The 23,906-nt window shown below is 45.4% G+C and overlaps 1 protein-coding gene and 1 long non-coding RNA gene across 3 annotated transcripts in view, besides 1 other annotated feature; one reads left to right on the forward strand and one right to left on the reverse strand.

Moving 5' to 3' along the window:
- OIP5-AS1 (OIP5 antisense RNA 1) overlaps positions 1–4,461 on the forward strand; it is a 30,642-nt gene extending 26,181 nt beyond the window's left edge. The window contains exon 5 of the long non-coding RNA NR_152821.1: positions 3,021–4,461. This is a non-coding gene — a long non-coding RNA (OIP5 antisense RNA 1). The remainder of the gene's footprint in view (positions 1–3,020) is intronic.
- On the reverse strand, positions 396–23,714 carry OIP5 (Opa interacting protein 5). 2 transcript variants are annotated; one of them, NM_007280.2, is made up of 5 exons: positions 23,363–23,714; positions 23,038–23,104; positions 10,781–10,903; positions 4,396–4,477; positions 396–972 (listed from the first exon to the last, which is right to left on the reverse strand). In NM_007280.2, exons 1-5 carry the CDS (start codon positions 23,682–23,684, stop codon positions 877–879), a joined length of 690 nt encoding a protein of 229 aa, NP_009211.1. In that variant the 5' UTR covers positions 23,685–23,714; the 3' UTR covers positions 396–876. The 2 variants fall into 2 exon arrangements, with proteins under 2 accessions (NP_009211.1, NP_001304789.1); NM_001317860.2 differs by lacking the exon at positions 10,781–10,903.
- Positions 23,468–23,727: an enhancer, noted in NCBI's record as "active region_9279". NCBI's record gives its function as "activates an Ori minimal core promoter by ATAC-STARR-seq in GM12878 lymphoblastoid cells {active_cell/tissue: GM12878}" and the evidence as "EXISTENCE:reporter gene assay evidence [ECO:0000049][PMID:35858748]".

Here is a 23,906-nt window from a genome sequence, read left to right on the forward strand (position 1 = left end):
TAGTAGAGACGAGGTTTCACCACGTTGGCGAGGCTGGTCTTGAACTCCTGACCTCAAGTGATCCACTGCCTCGGCCTCCGAAAATCTGGAATTATAGATGTGAGCCACTGCGCCAGGCCTGTAATTTTATGTATCTTTATGTGATTATTTGAATGTCCCTCTCTGACTAGATTATAAATTCTAAGGATAGTGTGTCTATTTTTGCTTACCTTTTATCCCCAGCACCTAGTCTAACACTTTACAAATATATATTAAATTAATATTTTGATAAGTTACTCAAAGTGCTACATAAAACAAAATTATAGAAAATAGTACTTTGGTAACTGTTTCGTTTTATCATTGCTTTCATTATTTCTCTGTTAACCTCAGTTTACAACTGAAAAAGACAAATTGTATATTATTCAGGCAATTTATTAAACATTACCTATAGAATATTATGATCTGTATTTTACAGAAGTTAAAAAGTGATGTATTAGTATTCATAACAACTGCTCCATGCAGGAGTAATAGAAGTCAACATTAAGCCCAACTCTATTTTCAGACCAACCATGCAACTTTAGATCAGAGGACACATGGGACTCTGCATCTTAATTCCTAAATTTACAGTCAAAGACATTTTCAGAGATAAGTATTATGAATTCAATAAGAATCTAAAGTAAGTTCTTAAGGCAAATAGCTATAAAAGAGAAGAATCCTTAGTCTCTCATCTTCTAAAAACAGCTTCACAAATAATTTGGAAAATCAGCCTAAAGGTAAATAGAAACTGCATTTCCCCTCCATTCTTGAAGCCAATCTTTTTCAAGAAATGACTAAGCAGCACCTGTTGTTGAAGACAGCAATAAAGCCTGAACCTGACACTCAAGCTTTGGTACAGGATCAGTTTTCTGGCTTGGACTGGTCAGGAGTCACTTCACTCAGAATCTTCATTAGTGATTTTAAGCGATTGTGCGTTAGCACTATCTTCTCTTTCAGCTAGGAAGAGAAATATATAGATATCAGGGCATCTTTTTTTATTTTTACTTATTTTAAGAGACAGGGTCTCACTCTGTTGCCTGAGCTGGAGTACAGTGGCACATTCATAGTTCACTGCAGCCTCAAGCTCCTGCTCTCAAGTGATCCTCCCACTTCAGCCTCCTGATTAGCTAGGACTACAGTCATGTGTTTTAAATTTTCTTTGTAGAGATGGGGGTCTTGCTTTGTTGCCCAGGCTGGTGTTGAACTCCTGGCAGTCAGTGATCCTCCCAAAGTGCTGGAATTACAGACATGAGCCACCACACCAAGATGGATATCTGGGCATTTTAAGCTTAACTGTCAATTTGCTGGTCACAAACACCATTTCAAATTTAAGCTAGTTTATATCTAGTAATTGGGAGCTGGCAATGTCTAAATGCATTTGAGGAATAAATTTCTTCTAATTCTGGAAGAACTTTATACAACAACGTAGCGCACAGTAAGATCTTCAGATGTGGCCAGGCGCAGTGGCTCACGCCTCTAACCCCAGCACTTTGGGAGGCTAAGTTGGGCAGATCACGAGGTCAGGAGATCAAGACCATCCTGGCTAACACGGTGAAACCCCATCTCTACTAAAAATACAAAAACAAAATTAGCTGGGCACGGTGGCGGGCGCCTGTAGTCCCAGCTACTCAGGAGGCTGAGGCAAGAGAATGAGTGAACCCAGGAGGCAGAGCTTGCAGTGAGCCAAGATCGTGCCACTGCATTCCAGCCTGGGTGACAGAGCGAGACTCCGTCTCAAAAAAAAAAAAAAAAAAGATCCTCAGATGTAAAGTTTCGTGTGAAAAAAGACAAAACATTGCTGAGCAGCACTGCTACTGTGAAGATGAATAAAGTCTGGTCACAGTGCTTTGTGGAGACAGGCTTCTCCTCCTTTTCCAGTGGCAAGAATTTAGCTTTTCTTTTAACACTTTGTTAACAGTAACAAATGCCTCTCTGACTTTAACATTCTACTAATGGTCTGCAAAGTTAACTCTGGTTATTAGGTTTAGAACAGATAACTGTTGCAATTAGGTAATTTTTAAGAGTTCTTACAGCTATATTTAGCATGAAATTTAGTGTTGTTACTCAGCAGGGCAAGAGCAGTGGCTTCTGATAATCTCCATTCGCCCCTCCCAGCATAGGATTTCCACCCTACAAGCAAGCTGGGGGCAAGGGCAACTGGGTTCCCAGCTACTGGGGAGGCTGAAGCAGAAGCACTTGAACCTGGCACTCACACCTGTAATCCCAGCAGTTTGGTAGGCCGAGGCGGGTGGGTCACCTGAGCTCGGAAGTTCGAGAACAGCCTGGCCATCATTTTTAGCAGAGATGGTAAAACCCCGTCTCTACTAAAAATACAAAAATTATCTGGGCACGGTAGTGCGCGCCTGTAGTCCCAGGTACTCAGGAGGCTTTTTAGTATTTTTAGTAGAGACAAGGATTCTCCATGTGGGAGAATCGCTTGAACCCGGGAGGAGGGGGTTGCAGTGACCCAAGACTGTGCCACTGCATTCCAGCCTGGGAGGCAGAGTGAGACTTTGTCTCAAAAATAAATAAACAAATAAATGTTTCTGTATTTGCCATATACCTTGAAGAAAATTTCCACAGACTTAAGATGGTTGTTTCCTTTATAATATTCTTCCTGGATCCTATCCATGGAACTCCTCATACTGCCATTCCAAAGTCATTTCCCATACCAATTATTATTATTATTATTTTTGAAATAGATTCTCACTGTCACCCAGGCTAGAATGCAATGGCGTGATCTTGGCTCACTGCAACCTCTGCCATCCAGGTCCAAGCGATTCTCCTGCTTCAGCCTCCTGAGTAGCTGGGGCTGGGATTATAGGCGCCTGCCACTGCGCCTGGCTAATTTTTCTAGTTTTAGTAGAGACGGGGTTTCACCATCTTGGCCAGGCTGAACTCCTGACCTCATGATCCACCCACCTCGGCTTCTCAAAGTGCTGGGATTACAGGTGTGAGCCACCGCACCCAGCCAATAAGAATTCTTTTTTTTTTTTTCCACACAGAGTTTCGCTCTCAATGGCAAGCTCTCGGCTCACTGCAACCTCTGCCTCCCAGGTTCAAGCGATTCTCCTGCCTCAGCCTCCCGAAAAGCTGGGATTATAGGCATGCGCCAACACGCCCGGCTAATTTTGTATTTTTAGTAGAGATGGGATTTCTCCATGTTGGTCAGGCTGGTCTCAAACTCCCGACCTGAGGTGATCTGCCTGCCTCAGCCTCCCAAAGTGCTGGGATTACAGGCATAAGCCACCATGCCCAGCCTTCTTTTTTTCTTTTTTTTTTTTTTGAGACAGATTTTCACTCTTGTTGCTCAGGCTAGAGTGCAATGGCATGATCTTGCCTCACAACAACCTCTATCTCGCAGGTTCAAGTGCTTCTCCTGTCTCAACCTCCCAAGTAGCTGGGATTACAGGCATGTGCCACCACGCCCGGCTAATTTTGTATTTTTAGTAGAGACAGGGTTTCTCCATGTTGGTCAGGCTGGTCTCGAACTACTGATCTCGGGTTATCCATCCGCCTCAGCCTCCCAAAGTGCTGGGATTACAGGCGTGAGCCACCACGCCCAGGCAAGAATTATTTTTTTTTGAGACGCAGTCTCGCTCTGTTGCCCAGGCTGGAGTGCAGTGGCGCAGTCTCGGCTCACTGCAACCTCCACCACCTGGGTTCAAGCGATTCTCCTGCCTCAGTCTCCTAAGTAGCTGGGATTACAGGCGCCCACCACCATGACCGGCTAAATTTTTTTTTTTTTTTTTTTTGAGACAGAGTCTTGCTCTGTTGCCCAGGCTGGAATGCAGTGGCGCAATCTCAGCTCACTGCAACCTCCACCTCCCAGTTCAAGCAATTCTCCTGCCTCTGCCTCCCGAGTAGCTGGGACTACAGGCACGTGCCACCACGCCCGGCTAATTTTTTGTATTTGTAATAGAGATGGGGTTTCACTGTGTTAGCCAGGATGGTCTCCATCTCCTGACCTCATGTTCTGCTCGCCTTGGCCTACCAAAGTGCTGGGATTACAGGCGTGAGCCACCACGCCCGGCCAGGAATTCTTAATAACTGTTTCATCACTCTTATGTCTGAGACAGTTGAGCAATTACAAGGTATTTGCAAAGAAGACACCTCTATGGCAAGATGATGATATCCATTCCCAGCACAAAGGAGAATGCAGGAGTGCAGCAGTTGAGCAGCTTTTCCTTTCTTCCTGAACTATACCTTACAGTGTGGTTTTAGTATTTTGTTTTTCATTACAAATTCAATAGGGAAGGTCAAATCAAGTAAAAAGGATTATTGAGCATCATGCCATTTCATCATCCCCAAGTTCATTGGTAGAAGTTATCAAGAGTTGTCTGTATTTTAAAAAAGCATACAACCATCATGAAATTTTACCTCTGCAATCTTTTCTGATAGAGGAACATTTTGAATATCCATCTCTGATGCATTTACTATGGCTTTTGTTTTTAAGAGATAGCTAGATAGGAAAAAAGAAAAATATTAGTGTCATACCATGGTTAAGATTATAAAAGAACCAAACTTACCTTCTAAAGAAAGTATGTGTCAAAAAAAGCCTGGCTTCTTAATGATTTTCATTTCAAGACTCATGATGTTACAGTTGGCCCACCATATCCATGGGTATAGCATCCATGGATTCAAACAACCACAGACTAAAAATATTCAGGAAAAAAAAACTGGATTGTGTCTGTACTGAACAGGTACACTCTTTTTCTTGTCATCATTCCCTTAACATTACAACAACTTTGTAAATTTCCTATGTAAATTTGTAATGTACATAGCATTTACATTACGTTAGCTGTCATAAGTAATCTGGAGATTATTTTAAAGTATAAAATATATACTTTTATACTTTAAAAAGGAGGATATCCAAAAGTAATATGCAAATATTACACCACTTAATATCAGAAACTTGAGTGTCCATGGATTTTGGTATCTGGTGAGGTCCTGGAACCACAGATACTGAAGGATGACTGCATTTTCTTGGAAAAACAAATTCAAAAATAAACAAATTGGAGAGGATCTCTGCCGCATCCCACCAGAGACAAAATTATCTCAGGGTAAATTAAAGACAAAAACCAGGCTCATATGAATAATTACGATGATTATAAGCTTTACACTTCATCAGTAGGATCCTGTAGCACAGTTTGAAAGAAAGTAATCCCAGTATGAGACATAGTGTTGGTCACCTATTCCCAGTAGCTGTTCCTCACTTTTTTTTTTTGAGATGGAGTCTCGCTCTGTTGCCCAGACTAGAGTGCAGTGGTACAATCTCAGCTCACTGCAACCTCTGCCTCCTGGGTTCAAGCGATTCTCCTGCCGCAGCCTCCCGAGTAGCTGGGATTACAGGCTTGCGCCACCACGCCCAGCTAATTTTTGTATTTTTAGTAGAGATGGGGTTTCACCATGTTGGCGAGGCTGGTCTCGAACTCCTGACCTCAGGTGATCCCCCTGCCTGGGCCTCCCAAAGTGCTGGGATTATAGGCGTGAGCCGAGCCCAGCCTTCCTCACTTCTTTATTGCCAACAGAATCCAGATTTTTGCCATGAGCCTACTGTTACATATTTGCTTTCTCAGATGAGGTGATCATGTGACATAGTTCTGGCCAACAAGGGTAAGAAAATGGGATGGGTGTGCTGGCTCACACCTATAATCCCAGCACTTTGGGAGGCTGAGGCAGGCAGATGGCTTGACATCAGAAATTTGAGACCAGCCTGGGCAACATAGCGAAACTCCATCTCTTTTTTTTTTTTTTGAGACAGAGTCTTACTCTGTCACCCAGGCTGAAGTGCAATGGCGAGATCTCGGCTCACTGCAACCTCCGCCTTCCAGGTTCAAGCAATTCTTCTGCCTCAGCCTCCCAAGCAGTTGGGATTACAGGTGCCCACCATCATGCCCAGCTAATTTTTGTATTTTTAGCAGAGACAGGGTTTCACCATATTGGACAGGCTGGTCTTGAATTCCTGACCTCAAGTGATCCGCCTGCCTCAGCCTCCCAAAGTGCTGGGATTACAGCTGTGAGCCAACATGCCTGGCCAGCGAAACCCCATCTCTACAAAAAATACAAAAATTAGCCAGATGTGGTGGCATGCCTGTAGTCCCAGCTACTTGGGAGGCTGAGTTGGGAGGATCACCTGAACCCAAAAGGTTGAGGCTGCAGTGAACCATGATCGCTCCAGCCTGTGTGACAGTGAGACCCTGTCTCAAAAAAAAAAAAAAAAAGAATAAAAAAAAGATTAAGAAAATTTATGCTGGCGGGGCGCAGTGGCTTATGCGTGTAATCCCAGCACTTTGGGAGGCCGAGGCGGGGGGATCACCTGAGGTCAGGAGTTTGAGACCAGCCTGGCAAACATGGTAAAACCCCATTTCTAATAAAAATACAAAAATTAGCAGGCTGTGGTGGAGCGCACCTGTGGTCCCATCTGCTTGGGAGGCAAGGCAGGAGAATCACTTGAACCTGGGAGGCGGAGGTTGCAATGAGCTGAGATCACACCACTGTGTTCCAACTTGGGTGACAGAGCAAGACTCTGTCTCAAAAAAAAAAAAAAAATTTATGCTGATGAAAAGGGGGAATTTTCTTGTGTTCCCATACTCTCCATATCCTTTTCCTTCATGTTTAGGATGCTATCATCAATAGATGTAATGACTGTAATTGCAGCAGCCATCCCGAATCCAAGAGGAAAAGGCCAAAGTTTCTACTTAATCAAAAAGAATGTCCTGACCTTTTATCCAACTCATTTTAAAGATTAAGAAATTAACCAAAATCCCATAATGCTTTTCAAATTTATGTTAAAAATATGTTACTAAAAGCTTACTGCCCTAACAAAAATGCAATTATTGCTTCTCTAGAACATTTACTTTTGTACTGATTTCTAAAAAAGATGTGGGATTACTAACAGCACACATTTACAGTTTTTTTTCCCACTTTAAAGTTAATTCTAAATAGAAATTGCTTAAGAATCTAGAAATTGGTGGCGCAGTGGCTCACACCTGTAATCCCAGCACTTTAGGTGGCCAAGGCAGGAGATCAAGACCATGCTGGCTAACACGGTAAAACCCCGTCTCTACTAAAAATACAAAAAAATTAGCCAGACATGGTGGCGGGCGCCTGTAGTCCCAGCTACTCGGGAGGCTGAGGCAGGACAATGGCGTGAACCTGGGAGGCGGAGCTTGCAGTGAGCCGAGATGGTGCCACTGCACTCCAGCTCCAGCCTGGGCGAAAGAGCAAGACTCCGTCTCAAAGAAAAAAAAAAAGAATCTAAAAATTGAGGCTGGGCATGGTGATTAATGCCTGTAATCTTAACATTTTGGGAAGCCCAGGCAGGAGAATCACTTGAACCCAGGAGGTGCAGGTTGCAGTGAGCTGAGATCATGCCATTGCACTTCCAGCCTGGGTGACAGAGTGAGACTCCGTCTTTAAAAAAAGAGAATGATCAATCCATCTCAGGATCTCAGGTATATATTTTGTGTTGGAAATTTGCAATGAAGAACAAATGGTATACCTAATGCACAGTGAGCAACCCATGGTAAAGGACTGGCTGATAAGTTTTATTGTTTAGTCAACCATAACTCAGCTAAAAACATCTATCTAAGCATAAGAAATGAGAAAAAGCGGCCGGGCGCGGTGGCTCATGCCTGTAATCCCAGCACCTTAGGAGGCCAAGGCGGGCGGATCACGAGGTCAAGGAGATCGAGACCATCCTGGCTAACACAGTGAAACCCCGTCTCTACTAAAAATACAAAAAATTAGCCAAGCGTGGTGGTGGGCGCCTGTAGTTCCAGCTACTTGGGAGGCTGAGGCAGGAGAATGGTGTGAACCCAGGGGGTGAAGCTTACAGTGAACCAAGATCACGTCACTGCACTCCAGCCTGGGCGCCACAGCAAGACTCCATCTCAAAAAAAAAAAAAAAAAAAAAGACATGAGAAAAAGGAAACCTTTTAGTTTTATGAAAGGAAAATAAGCTTTTGAGTTAAGACATGCTCAAATCTCAGCTCTTCCACCTCTTTGAGCCCTAGTTTTCTTAAACTATATTAAGAACTCAGTGATATAAGCATAATGCCTACATAAACTAGGTTGTCAATGCTTGTTTTTGTTTTTTAATGGTCAAGGAAAGACTTCTAAGGATGTTTCAGTTTCTTGTAATAAGTAAAAAAGCTTAAGTTAAAAGTGCAATTTATTAGGAAAATAATGAAATAGCCAATGTAATTCATGAGAAAGGATAACCAGTAGGGTAGTTTTTCTGACACTATGAGGCTACATGATCATTATTTTTACTTTTCTCTGTGTCTGCTTCATGTTTTACTGCAGAGAAGACTTCCCTGCAGCTACATGCATCACATGGGAAATAGCTATCCCATACATAGAGCTTTCACTTCCAAACTTCAACACTAGTACTATCTACACGTAACTGGTATTTCTGGGCCCTTGTTTCAAATTCCTAAGGTAGAAAACTGGTTGGCTTAGTTTGGGTCAGGTATCCATTTTTCTTTTTTTTTTTTTTTTTGAGACAGAGTCTCGCTCTGTTGCCAGGCTGGAGTGCAGTGGCGCGATCTTGGTTCACTGCAACCTCTGACTCCCCGGTTCAAGTGATTCTCCTGCCTCAGCCTCCCAAGTAGCTAGGATTACAGGCATGCGCCACCATGCCCAGCTAATTTTTTTTGTATTTTTAGTAGAGACGGGGTTTCCCATGTTGGCCAGGATGATCTCGATCTCCTGACCTCATGATCTGCCCACCTCGGCCTCCCAAAGTACTGGGGTTACAGGCGTGAGCTACCACGCCCAGCACCGTTTTTGGTTTTTAAGAGACAGGGTCTTGCTCTGCTCCCCATGCTAGAATACAGTGACACAATCATAGCTCACTGTAACCTTGAACTCCTGGGCTGTAGCTATCCTCCCACCTTAGCCTCCAGAGTAGCTAGGACTACAGGCATACACCACCATACACAGTTAATATTTTAAATTTTTTGTAGAGACAGAGTCTTGCTATGTTGCCTAGGCTGGTCTCAAACTCCTAAGCTCAAACAATCCTCCAACTCAGCCTTCCAAAGTGCTGAGATTACAGGCATGACCCACCATGCCTGGCCAGGTATTCATTCTTGATCCAGTACCTGGGAGTGGGAATCACACATGATACAAATCACACATGATACAAATATACAAGGCCCCACCTATTAGAGGGAGAGAGAGGCTGGGCACAAACCCAAAAGGTATCTACTGCAACATTATTTTGCAAAAGCTTGCCTTCTAGAATGTTCTTTTTATCTTTTATTTATTTTTATTTTTTCTGAGACAGAGTCTAGCTCTGTCACCCAGGCTGAAGTGCAGTGGCTTGATCTTGGCTCACTGCAACCTCCGCCTCCTGGGTTCAAGCAATTCTTCTGCCTCACCTCCCGAGTAGCTGCGACCACAGGCGTGTGCCACCACACTTGGCTTATTTTCGTATTTTAAATGGAGATGGGGTTCCACCATGTTGGCCAAGCTGGTCTCGAACTCCTGACCTCAGGTGAACCCCCGACCTCAGCCTCCCAAAGTGCTGGGATTACAGGCGTGAGCCACTGCACCCGGCCCATAAGGGAGCAGTTTGAGATGGGAGGCTTCACCATGTTGCCTAGGCTGGTCTCAAACACCAAGATTCAAGTGATCCTCCTGCCTCAGCCTCCTGGGTAGCTAGAATTACAGGCACACACCACCACATCTGGCAACAAGTTTCTTTAATGAAAGAATACCCTCTGAATTTTCCCATGGTATGACTTTTAAGATATGGTATGATAAGACATGGAAGATAATCATAATGTTATAAGATTATATTTTGGTCCCACTGCTTTTTTTTTTTTTTGTCACCCAAAGTGGAATGCAGTGGTATGATCACAGCAAAATGTAACCTTGAACTCCTGGGCTCAGGTGATCCTCCCACCTCAGCCTCCCAAGTAACTGGGACTATAGGGGCACGCCGCCACATCCAGCTAATTTTTTAAAATTTTGTATAAAAAAAAAACAGGAGTCTCACTATATTGCCCATGGAGGTCTTGAACTCCTGCCCTCAAGCAGTCCTCCCACCTTGGCCTCACAAAGCATTGGCATTACAGGCGCGAGCCATCACACCTGGCCCACTGCTATCTTTTTGTCAAAGACAGTGCCTGACTTTAGCATCTTTTTGGTACAAACACTTTGTCTTTTTTCTTTTTTTTTTTTTTGAGACAGAGTCTTGTTCTGTCACCCAGGCTGGAGTGTAGTGGTGCAATCTCAGCTCACTGTGCAACCTCCACCTCTCAGGTTGAAGCAATTCTCTTGCCGCAGCCTCCCAAGTAGCTGGGATTACAGGTGTGCACTAGCATGCCCAGCTACTTTTTTTTTTTTTTCCTTTGGACAGAATCTCACTATGTCTCCCAGGCTGGAGTGCAGTGGCGTGATCTCACAGTGGCGTGATCTCAGCTCACTGCAGCCTCTGCCTCCCAGGTTCCAACAATTCTCGTGCCTCAGCCTCCTGAGTAGCTGGGATTACAGGCGTCTACCACTACACCTGGCTAATTTTTGTATTTTTCGTAGAGATGGGTTTCACCATGTTAGCCAGGCTGGTCTCAAACTCCTGACCTCGAGTGATCCACCGCCTCAGCCTCCTAAAGTGCTGGGATTACAGGCATAAGCCACTGTGCTCAGCCTACTTTGTCTTTCCTGAAAAACCTTTTAAAATTTATTTGATGGACTTTGTCTCAAAATAAATAAAATAAAATGTATTTGATGATCAATATCTAAGTCTACTCACCACACCATTTTGTCACTGGAAAGGCAGAAGTGACCTCTCAAGGCAGCCAGGGCAGCATGGGTAGAATACAGATGGAAACCAACGGGAATCCCACAAGAACCACAGAATAAAAGGTTGTAAGTACTAGGGGTGGGGAAAAACACAATATGGGTAAGAATAAAAAATCATATAAGAAATAAAAAATAACTAGTCTCTGAAGCATTCCTAACACCTAAGTCAGGGTGAAAATTACATTGTAATAGGAATGAGACGGAAAGAATGTCACATTCAAGAAAGGGTAACTCAGATTGTAATTTAATTACATGCTGGATTGCGGATACCCTCGTATATTCTGGTCAAAGCAATCATGGATGTATAATTGTCGCTTCAGAAGAGAAAGGTAATTTACCCCTAATAAACACAAAAAGAGCTAACTAATCTGATTAACATTTAAACATTTAAAACTACAAATCATGTAAAATGGCTATCATTATATAAATTCACAGTTGTTGAAAAATAATCAAGTTGACTGGGGCCTTACTAAACAAATTGTTCATAGAACTAAAATCAAGGTTTGTCTTTTGCTTATATTAAAAAAGAAAGTTAATGAAAAAAATGCGCCCTCTCCCTCTCCCTCCTCTCCCCACGGTCTCCCTCTCCCTCTCTTTCCACGGTCTCCCTCTGATGCCAAGCCAAAGCTGGACTGTACTGCTGCCATCTCGGCTCACTGCAACCTCCCTGCCTGATTCTCCTGCCTCAGCCTGCCGAGTGCCTGCGATTGCAGGCACGCGCCGCCACACTTGACAGGTTTTCATATTTTTTTGGTGGAGACGGGGTTTCGCTGTGTTGGCTGGGCTGGTCTCCAGCTCCTAACCGCGAGTGATCCACCAGCCTCGGCCTCCCAGGGTGCCGGGATTGCAGACGGAGTCTCGTCTCGTTCACTCAGTGCTCAATGGTGCCCAGGCTGGAGTGCAGTGGCATGATCTTGGCTCGCTACAACCTCCACCTCCCAGCCGCCTGCCTTGGCCTCCCAAAGTGCCGAGATTACAGCCTCTGCCCAGCCGCCACCCCGTCTGGGAAGTGAGGAGCGTCTCTGCCTGGCCACCCATCGTCTGGGATGTGAGGAGCCCCTCTGCCTGGCTGCCCAGTCTGGAAAGTGAGGAGCGTCTCTGCCCGCCCGCCATCCCATCTAGGAAGTGAGGAGCGCCTCTTCCCGGCCGCCATCCCATCTAGGAAGTGAGGAGCGTCTCTGCCCGGCCTCCCATGGTCTGAGATGTGGGGAACGCCTCTGCCCTGCCGCCCCGTCTGGGATGTGAGGAGCGCCTCTGCCCGGCCGCGACCCTGCCTGGGAGGTGAGGAGCGTCTCTGCCCGGCTGCCCCATCTTGAGAAGTGAGGAGACCCTCCGCCCGGCAGCCTCCCTGTCTGAGAAGTGAGGAGCCCCTCCGCCCGGCAGCCACCCCATCTGGGAAGTGAGGAGCGTCTCCGCCCGGCAGCCACCCTGTCGGGGAGGGAGGTGGGGGGTCAGCCCCCCGCCCAGCCAGCCGCCCCGTCCAGGAGGGAGGTGGGGGGGTCAGCCCCCCGCCCGGCCAGCCGCCCCGTCCGGGAGGGAGGTGGGGTGGTCCAGCCCCCCGCCCGGCCAGCCGTCCCGTCCTGGAGGGAGGTGGGGGGGTCAGCCCCCCGCCCGGCCAGCCGCCCCGTCCGCGAGGTGATGGGCGCCTCTGCCCGGCCGCCCCTACTGGGAAGTGAGGAGCCCCTCTGCCCGGCCACCACCCTGTCTGGGAGGTGTACCCAACAGCTCATTGAGAATGGGCCATGATGACAATGGCAGTTTTGTGGAATAGAAAAGGGGGAAAGGTGGGGAAAAGATTGAGAAATCGGATGGCTGCTGTGTCTGTGTAGAAAGAAGTAGACATGGGAGACTTTTCATTTTGTTCTGTACTAAGAAAAATTCTTCTGCCTTGGGATCCTGTTGATCTATGACCTTACCCCCAATCCTGTGCTCTCTGAAACATGTGCTGTGTCCACTCAGGGTTAAATGGATTAAGGGCGGTGCAAGATGTGCTTTGTTAAACAGATGCTTGAAGGCAGCATGCTCCTTAAGAGTCATCACCACTCCCTAATCTCAAGTACCCAGGGACACAAACACTGCGGAAGGCCGCAGGGTCCTCTGCCTAGGAAAACCAGAGACCTTTGTTCACTTGTTTATCTGCTGACCTTCCCTCCACTATTGTCCTATGACCCTGCCAAATCCCCCTCTGCGAGAAACACCCAAGAATGATCAATAAAAAAATAAATAAATAAATAAATAAATAAAAAAGAAAAAAATGCGCAGACTAAAAGAGAAAGAAAAGGGAATCCTATTACCCTAGCAAGCCATCTATTTTGTTTTCCTTATCCTCTGAAAAGATTACTGATGAAGAGTCAGATGTTGATTTTAGCTCTCATTACAATTCTTGAGCAAGTCATCATATTTGCTGGTATATAAGACATATTTAAATATTAGAAAGAAACATTTTGGTCAGGCACAGTGGTTCACACCTACTGTAATCCCAGCACTATGAGAGGCCAAAGTGGGCAGATAGCTTGAGCCCAGGAATTCGAGAGCAGCCTAGGCAACATGGTAATACCCCGTCTTAAAAAATAAATAAATGTTTTACAAGAAAAGCACTTTAAGAAAATATTTCATCATGCATGTGCTAAAAGCAATTTTAAAGTGGTTTGGTAAAGGAAAAATAAATTGTATTAATATATAGTATGAAGTTTTTTTTGGTTTTTTTTTGAGACAAGTTCTTGCTCTGTCGCCCAGGTTAGAACGTAGTGATACAATCATAGCTCACTGCAGCCTTGAATTCCTGGGCTCAACTGATCTACCTGCCTCAGCTTCCCAAAGCTGGGACTACAGGTGCATGCTACCATGCCCTACTAATTTTTTTTTTGGCAGAAATGGGGTCTTACTTTGTTTCCCAGGCTAGGAGAATTCTATTAACAAAATACAACATAAAAATCACATAGCTAGCCCGGGCATGATGGCTCACGCCTGTAATCCCAGCACTTTGGGAGGCCAAGGCGGGTGGATCACCTGAGGTCAGGAGTTCGAGACCAGCCTGGCCAACGTGGCGAAACCCTGTCTCTACTAAAAATAAAAAAATTAGCCAGGCCTGGTGGCGGGTGCCTGTAATCCCAGCTACTTAGGAGGGTGAGGCAGGAGAATCGCTTGAACCTGGGAGGCGGAGGTTGCAGTGAGCGGAGATTGTGCCACTGCACTCCAGCCTGGGCAACAAGAGCGAAACTCCATCTTAAAAAAGAAAAAAAAAAATCACATAGCTAAAAAGAAATATTCATGTCAGTGGATACTAAAAAAGAACAAATAACAATATATTGAGTTTATTGGTAAATGAAGTCCCACACCCACACCACACATATAGTAATGTAATCTTGTGAATATAGTTAACCAAAAAGCAAAATATGAAATAAAGTGTCATTAATTTGAAATTCCACGTAGGAATTAATTAATTCAGACAAAGCACAGTACTTATAAACAAATGTCTCAGTGGAAATTAATTTAATTTCCATTCGGGCGCAATGGCTCACGCTTGTAATCCCAGCATTTTGGGAGGCAGGCAGATCACTTGAGATCAGGAGTTTGAGAACAGCCTGGTCAACATGGTGAAACTCCGTCTCTACTAAAAATACAAAATTTAGCTGGGTTTCCAGAAGGTTTTTGATTTACTTTGCCCAGATCCATCAGAGGAATAACTATCTATAGTAGCTATAGATAGTAATAGTAAATGAGCATTGACTTCAACTTAAAGTCACCAGCTGCAATAGCCCCTAACAAGAAAGCCTGTCCTTTGAAGCTTTTTTTTCTTTTTCTTTTGGATGGAGTGCAGTGGTACAATCACAGCTCACTACAGCCTTGACATCCCAGACTCAAGTGATCCTCCCACCTCAGCCTTCCAAGTAGCTGGGACCACAGGTACACACTAAAATGCCCATCTAATTTTTAAATTTTTCGTAGAGACAGGTTCTTGCTATGTTGCCCAGGCTGGTCTTGAACTCCTGTGCTCAAGCAATCCTCCCACTTTGGTCTCCCAAAGTGCTGGGATTACACATGTGAGTCACTGTGACCAGCTCCTTTGAAGCCAGGTAATGACTTCTCCTTTCTACCTATGAAAGTCTGAGATGGTATCTTCTTCCAACAGAAGGCTGTTTCATCTGCACTGAAAATATGTTCTTTAGTGTACCCACTTTCATTTTCTGTAGCTTCTGCATCAGTACTTGCTGTTTCACTTTGGACTTTTGTTATGGAGAAGGTTTCTTTCCTTAAATCTCATGAACCAACCTCTGCTTTTTTTTTTTTTTTTTTTTTTAAGATGGTCTTGCTCTGTCACCCACCCAGGCTGGAGTGTGGTGGCACAATCACAGCTCCATTGCAGCCTCGACCTCTCTGGGCTCAAGCCAGCCTTCCTTCTCAGCCTCCCAAGCAGCTGGGACTATAGGTGTGCGCCACCACATCCGGCTAAATTTTTTTGTATTTTGTAGAGACAGCATTTCACCATGTTGCCCAGGTTGGTCTCAAACTCCTGGGTTCAACCAGTCCACCCACCTCGGCCTCCCAAAGTGCTGGGATTACAGGCGTGAGCCATTGCACCGAGCCAACATTTGATACTCTAAACTTCTTCTGCAGCTTCCTCACCTCTCAGCCTTCACAGAATTGAACAGAGTTAGGGCCTTGTTCTGGATTAGGCTTTAGTTTAAAGGAATGTTGTGGCTGATTTGATCTTCTACTCATACCACTCAAACTTTCTCCATATCAGCTTATCACTGGAATAGCACTTTTAATTTCCATTTATTTATTTGTTTGTTTGTTTGATGGAGTTTCGCTCTTGTTGCCCAAGGTGGAGTGCAATGGTGTGTTCTTGGTGCACTGCAACCTCCGCCTCCCGGGTTCAAGCAATTCTCCTGCCTCAGCCTCCCAAAGAGCTGGAATTACAGGTGTGCGCCACCATGCCCGGCTAATTTTGTATTTTTAGTAGAGATGGGGTTTCACCATGTTGGTCAGGCTGGTCTTGAATTCCTGACCTCATGTGATCCACCCGCCTCAGTCTCCCAAAAGTGCTGGGATTACAAGCGTGAGCCACCGCGCCTAACCCCATTTTTTTTCTTCATATTCACAATTTGGCATGACTTCACATGCCTTCCTCACTAAGCTTAATCATTTCTAGCTTTTGATTTAAAATGAGAGACTTGCAACTTTTTCTTTCACTTGAACACTTAAAGGCCATTGTTGGGTTATTAATTGGCCTGAGAAGGCAAGACTGAATGGCTAGTTGGTGGAAGTCAAAACACAGGCATGTATTGATTAAGTTTGCTATCTTCAATGGGTGCGGTTTGTGGCATCCCACAATTACAATAGTAACAGCAAAGATCACTGATCACAGATCAGTGTTAACAGACATAATGATGAAAAGGTTTTAAAAACTGCCAGAATTGGCCGGGCGCAGTGGCTGTAATCCCAGCACTCTGGGAGGCCGAGGGAGGCAGGTCATGAGGTCAGGAGATCAAGACCATCCTGGCTAACATGGTAAAACCCCATCTCTACTAAAACTACAAAAAAATTAGCCGGGTGTGGTGGCGGGCCCCTGTAAGTCCCAGCTACTCGGGAGGCTGAGGCAGGAGAATGGTGTGAACCCAGGAGGCTGAGCTTGCAGTGAGCCTAGATCACGCCACTGCACTCCAGCCTGGGTGACAGAGCGAGCCTCCGTCTCAAAATAAATAAATAATAAAAATAAAAACTGCCAGAATTACCAACATGTGACACAGAGACACAAAGTGAGCACATGCTGTTAGAAATGGTGTCAACAGACTTGCTCAACAAAAGCTTGTCACAAACCTTCAATTTGTTAAAAAAAAAAAAAAATGCAGTCCCTGGGCTGGGCGCAGTGGCTCACACCCGTAATCCCAGCACTATGGGAAGCCAAGGCAGGTGGATCATTTGAGGTCAGGAGTTCAGGACCAGCCTGGCAAACACGGCGAAACCCATCTCTAATAAAAATACAAAAATTAGCTGGGCGTGGTGGCACGCACCTGTAATCCCAGCTACTAGGGAGGCTGAGGCAGGAGAGTTGCTTGAACCCGGGATGTGGAGGTTGCAGTGAGCCAAGATCATGCCACTGCACTTCTGTCTGGGCAACAGAGCAAGACTCCGTCTCAAAAAAAAAAAAAAAAAATTGCATTACCTGGGCTGGGCATAGTGGCTCACACCTGTAATCCCAGCACTCTGGAAGGCCAAGGTGGGCAGATCACTTGAGGTCAGGAGTTCAGGACCAGCATGGCCAACATGGCAAAACCCTGTCTCTACTGAAAATACAAAAGTTAGCTGGGTGTGGTAGGGCACACCTGTCATCCCAGCTACTAGGGAGGCTAAGGCAGAAGAATTGCTTGAAGCCAGGGGGCAGAGGTTTCAGTGAGCCGAGATAATGCCACTGGACTCTAGCCTAGGTGACAGAGTGTGACTCCATCTCAAAAAAACAAACAAACAAAAAAGCAGTATCTGCAAGTGCAGTAAAACACAGTATATTTTATTGAATATTACTATAAAACAAGGAAAAGAAAATTGCAATAAGTTCAGATAGTGAGATTAATGATATAGCGGTGCCTCAGTGGCTAAACCATGGTTTATGATTTAAAAAAATTTATCCTAAGTTGACCACTGTAGAAGAAAAAAAGAACTTCATTCCCACACTTTGCCTCTGATCATGTGTATAGTCTGTGGCTCCTTATTGTTTTTTGTTTGTGATTTTTTGAGATGGAGTTTCGCTCATTCCCCAGGCTGGAGTGCAATGGCGTGATCTTGGCTTACCACAACCTCCGTCTCCTAGGTTCAAGTGATTCTCCTGACTCGGCCTCCCAAGTGAGTAGCTGGGATTACAGGCGTGCACCACCACGCTTGGCTAATTTTGTCTTTTACTAGACACGGGGTTTCCCCGTGTTGGCCAGGCTGGTCTCGAACTCCTGACCTCAGGTGATCTGCACACCTAGGCCTTCCAAAGTGCCGGCATTACAGGTGTGAGCCACCGTGCCCGGCCCCATGTTTTTAACAATCTTACCACAGTAGGTACTACGTCTCTAACCATCCGTGCTGAGCTGCTTTGGGTTGCCTTGCTCTGCCACTAAGGGTTAGCATCACCTAGCTTGCTGGGCCTTCCATCATTACATTGGATCATGGGCACTGGAGAATATTATAGGAGGAAAATACTTCCAATACACTACCAAATACAACTGTTTCTCCATATCCTTATCAGTAGAATGAGGTCAACTAGATTATGTTATTTTTTTGGTTATAACAGTCTGTGAATCTACAAGACAACAGGAAGTAATACCAAAGTGATGAAGAGTTGATTTACTGTATGTGATTTGTTTCAAAATACTCCAGGAATTAAAAAAAAAAAAAAGTGAAGAGTATAGAGGAAAATAATTGTCAAAATATTAATAACTGTTGAAACTGGGTACCTGGGGCTTATTATAGTGTTTGTGGTATGTTTAAATTTTTTTTTTTTCTGAGATGGAGTCTTCCTCTTGTCACCCAGGTTGGAGTGCAATGGTGTGATCTCGGCTCACTGCAACCTCCGCCTCCTGGGTTCAAGCGATTCTCCTGCCTCAGCCTCCCCAGTAGCAGGGATTACAGGCGCCCACCACCACGCCCAGCAAATTTTTGTATTAGTAGAGATGGGGTTTCGCTATGTCATCCAGGCTGGTGTTGAACTCCTGACCTCGTGATCCTCCCGCCTCGGCCTCCCAAAGTGCTGGGATTACAGGCGTGAGTCACTGTACCCAGCCAGAATTGGGATATATCTTTAAAAAGAAAAGAGGCTGGGCGCAGTGGCTCACGCCTGTAATCCCAACACTTTGGGAGGCTGAGGTGGGAGGATCACGAAGTCAGGAGATTAAGACCATCCTGGCCAACATGGTGAAACCCCGTCTCTACTAAAATACATAAAATTAGCCAGATGTGGTGGCATGCACCTGTAGTCCCAGTTACTCGGGAGGCTGAGGCAGGGGAATCACTTGAACCCGGGAGGCGGAGTTTGCAGTGAGCCAAGATCCTGCCACTGCACTTCAGCCTGGGCTACAGAGCAAGACTCCATCTCAAAAAAATAAAAAATAAAATAAAATAATTGAAAAGAAAGGCTGAGTGCAGTGGCTCATGCTTGTAATGCCAGCACTTTGGGAAGCAAAGGTGGGCAGATCACTTGAGTTCAGGAGTTCAAAACCAGCCTGGGCAACATGTTGAAACCCTATCTCTACAACAAATTAGCTGGGCATGGTGGTGCATGCCTTATAGTCCTAGCTACTTGGGAGGCTGAGGTGAAAGGATGGCTTGAGCCTGGGAGGCGGAGGTTGTTCTCCATCCTGGGTAAAAGAGCCAGACTCCATCTCAAAAAATAAATAAATAGAAAAAAGTTTCTTATAAAGATCCTTACCAAAATATTTATGGATGGAATGATGTAATTTCAGGTATCTGCTTCAAAACATTGTGGAGGATAGATATTTTGTTTTGTTTTAGAGATGAAGTCTCGCTATGTTGCTCATGATGGTCTTGAACTCCTGGGTTCAAGTGATCCTCCCACCTTGGCCTCCAAAAGTGTTGGGATTACAGGCGTGAGCCAGCATGATAAGCCAACTATGATTTTAGATGAAACAAGATTGGCCAAGAGTTGATAAGTGCTCTAGTTTAGTGACAGGTAGACAGAGGTTCATTATATTCTTCTCTCGGGTTTGAATTTGCCATAACAATTAGAAAAAAATGTACTTCACTTATAATACAAACAAAATTCCATTTAAATATGCTGTTGAGCACAACAAAAGCTCAGGGTAAAAAAGCTATTTCTAAGTGTCAACATACTATAATAATCCTTTTTAAAATTAGTTACAATAAATCCTCTACCAGTAAGAGAACAATAAAATGTAGACGGAAGTAACCTTGTATCTGTCTACTTTATGACTTTGAATCTAAGAGGTTCATGCCAATTGTAGAATGTTTAAATAAATGTCGGAGGGAGTATATTTTAGGAGTATTCAAATATGACAGATTGAGAGGGATCAATTTATTTCACATGCCTCATTAAGAGTAAAGTTAAGGCCTGGTGCGGTGGCTCACACCTGTAATCCCAGCACTTTGGGAGGCTGAGGCAGGTGGATCACAAGGTCAGAAGTTCGAGACCAGCATGGCCAACATGGTGAAACCCCGTCTCTACTAAAAATATAAAAATACAAAAATTAGCCAGGCATAGTGGCGTGCGCCTGGAATCCCAGCTACTCGGGAGGCTGAGGTAGGAGAATAGCTTGAACCCGGGAGGCGGAGGTTGCAGCGAGCCAAGATCCCGCCACTGTGCTCCAGCCTGGGTCAGAGCAAGACTCCATCTCAAAAAAAAAAAAAAAAAAAAAAAAAAAAGAATAAAAAGAACCCGAGTCTGCTGTCTCTAAAATTTATGCTCTTTTAGCTGCATCATTAATCATCCTCTTAATTCATTCTCTGACCCCATCTAGGTAATGAACCTACACTTAGAAAAAAATCAAGTTGTCTTGAGCTGTGCCATTTCATAACCCTCTTCGTAAGTCCCATATAGCTCATCTTACTCCACAAATACAGAAACACATGGGGCTTTCCCTCTAGTTTTTTTTTTTTTTTTTTTTCAGACGGAGTCTCGATCTGTCGTCCAGGCTGGAGTGTAGTGGTGCGATCTTGGCTCACTGCAACCTCTGCTTCCCAGGTTCAAGCCATTCTCCTGCCTCAGCCTCCCAAGTAGCTGGGACTATAGGCGCTTGCCACCTCGCCCCCCTAATTTTTGTACTTTTAGTAGAGACGTGGTTTCACCATACTGGCCAGGCTGGTCCCGAACTCCCGACCTTGTGATCTGCCTGCCTTGGCCTCCCAAAGTGCTGGGATTATAGGTGTAAGCCACTGCACCTGGCCTTCCTCCAGTTTTTTACAAAGCATCTAAACAAGCATTGTCTAATAGGAATATAATGTGAGTCACATATGTAATTTTAAATTTTCTATTCATTTTGCTTTTTTTTTTGAGGAAGAGTCTCGCTCTGTTGCCCAGGCTGGAGTACAGTGGGATGATCTTGGCTCACTGCAACCCCCGCCTACCAGATTCAAGCAATTCTCTGCCTCAGTCTCCCAAGTAGCTGGGATTACAGGCGCCCGCCACCACGCCCAGCTAATTTTTGTATTTCTAGTAGAAACAGTTTCACTATCTTGGCTAGGCTGGTCTTGAACTCCTGACCTCGTGATCCATCCGCCTTGGCCTCCCAAAGTGCTGGGATTACATGCATCAGCCACGGCGCCTGGCCTAATTTTGCTTTAAAAAATAAAATAAAAACAGGTGAAATTAGTTTTTAAATATTTTATTTAACCCAATATATCAAAAATGTCATTTCACCATGTAATCAATTTTTTTTTTTAAGACAGAGTTTCGCTCTCGTTGCCCAGGCTGGAGTGCAATGGCGTGAACTCGGCTCACCACAACCTCCACCTCCCGGGTTCAAGCGATTCTCCCTCCTCAGCCTCCTGGGATTACAGCCTAGCTGGGATTACAGGCATGTGCCACCATGCCCGGCTAATTTTGTATTTTTAGTAGAGACAGGGTTTCTCCATTTTGGTCAGGCTGGTCTCGAACTCCCGACCTCTGGTGATCTGCCTGTCATGGCCTCCCAAAAGTGCTGGGATTATAGGCGTAAGCCACCGCTCCCAGCCGTAATCAGTATTTTTTTTTTTTTTTTTTTGATACGGAGTCTGTCGCCCAGGCTGGAATGCAGTGGCGCAATCTCGGTCACTGCAAGCTCCGCCTCCCGGGTTCACGCCATTCTCCTGCCTCAGTCTCCTGAGTAGCTGGGACTACAGGCGCCCGCCACTATGCCTGGCTAATTTTTTGTATTTTTAGTAGAGACACGGTTTCACCGTGTTAGTCAGGATGGTCTCGATTTCCTGACCTTGTGATCCGCCCGCCTCGGCCTCCCAAAGTGCTGTGATTACAGGTGTGAGCCACCACGCCCGGCCCGTAATCAGTATTTGTAAATGATTAATTTTTCTGTACTAAGTCTTTGAAATCCAGTGTGTATTCTGTGTTCACAGCATATCTCAATGCAGATTTAATAATATATAATAGCTACATATGACTAGTGATTACAGTATAGGACAGCACGGGTCTAGATTCATTAGCCTCCTCTCCAAGAGCACATTCAGGAACCTTCTGCCTCTGGCCCCAGAATACACCCAATTCCAAGCAGGCAATTGCTCCTTCTTGCTTTGTCCCCTTTGGGTGGGAAGGGGACTCCTATAGCGATAGGGAGTGTCTTTTATTCAGGAAAAAGAAAGGGAGCTGTGGGTCTAACTCCGTTTTTGAAGTTTGTCCAAGCTGCAGAAATCTTCCTGGTTACTGGACAAAGCAACTAAGAATTCCTATATTTTAACCGTAACGTTGAATCAAACTGGTCAGAATGAAATGAATTGTCTCAATGTTAAAGCCAAAACTCAAAATTGAGGAGCCTTGCAATACCAAATTCACTGACTACTTTATTGTCACTTGTAAATCATAGTACAGGCAGGTCGCAAAGTTTACCAGGCAGTATTCAAGTACATAACATTCTAGTTGTGTTTTTCTCCAGTTTCTGGGGTTACTGAAGAATTAGCCCTGGCATAGCTTATTACAAACTAACCATAATCGCAAACTTAAAAGTTCTAATATCAAGCGTGGGCAACATACTAAGGCCTCTACAAAAAATTTAAAAATTAGCCGGGAGTGGTGCTGTGTGCCTGTAGTCCCAGCTACTCCGGAGGGTGAGGTTGGGAGGATAGCTTGAGCCAGGAAGGTAGGGGCTGTAGTGAGCTATGAGCGCACCAGTGCACTCCAGCCTGGGCGAGAGCAAGACCCTGTATCAAAAAGTTCTAATATCTAAAAGGATTGTAGTTTATAGTATGTTATTCTCACTGTAAACCAAAAGGTTATTTTTTTCTTTTGTCCACTACTAGATACATCTTTCTTAGCCTCACTTCACTTGTACAAGCCACCTGGGAGAAGTGGCCCTCAGGAAGATCCTAAAACCAATACACAAATACAACTTTTTCATTTCATTAATACATCAAGTTCATATAAGAGTCAAACAGGTAAAAGCAGCATCCCAAACTGTTTTCTCCTCGTACATGTCAGTTCCACGATCCTCAGTCTCATAAAGTCAGGGACTAGAGACCAATGTAATTATCAATACGTACCTGCCTTTGAGTGAACCTTCAATGCCAACTAGGAAGGGCGCTTCCAAAACGACGTTATTTGTAACTCCTAGGAAGACAAACACGGGTCAGAACCCATACTCTGCGGGCCTTGAAATGGAAAATCTCTCCTCTAGACAGACTCATCCTGGCCGTAAATATCAGGAGACTCCCCGATTCCCTGCCCCATCCCCAGGCCAAGGAGTTATTTGCTTCCAACTTTTCATCCCGTTTTCTTCCCCAGGTGGTTCTCCGCCACCCGGTGGAGAAAGCGGGAACACCCTCTCGGGCTAGCCTCTGCCTTTCCCGAACGCTTCACTGCACTCACTGGAGAAGACCACGGCCCCGAGGGACCGCGACAGGTCCCAGGCGAGGTGCACCGAGTCGGCGAGCACTGCGTGACACTGTGCGCACTGGAACACAGCGCACCTCTCAGGCTGCAGCCAAGACGGCAGCTGCGGGCCGGCGGCTGGCTCCTCAGCCCCCAGCCCTGCGGGGCCGAGCGGCGAGGACCCCTTCACCACCTGCGTATCCCACTCCATGGAGGTCGTAAAAGAAGCTTGGTCAATCGCCCTCTCAGTGCCACCACAAAAGTCCCCCCGGGGCGGCGTTGCACAACGTGAGCGATGCCGCAGCGGCTGAGCCGCCATCTTCCCGCAGCCGGCGCCTTCCTTTCGAATACACGCCAGGCCCCGCCCCAAGCACAGCTCCTGCGTCCTCATTGGACATCATGGGCAATCCAAGCACTGGAGTCCGAGTCCGCGCACTCGTTACCTGAACAGGCGTTACAGGCCCTTTGGCGCCTGCGTATTCGTGAAGTGTGAAAAAAGCGCGCCTCTGTTGGGACGGGAAATCAGCCTTTCTATTGGTCA

Source organism: Homo sapiens, chromosome 15, assembly GCF_000001405.40.
Source record: "Homo sapiens chromosome 15, GRCh38.p14 Primary Assembly".
Classification (NCBI taxonomy): Eukaryota; Metazoa; Chordata; class Mammalia; order Primates; family Hominidae; genus Homo; species Homo sapiens.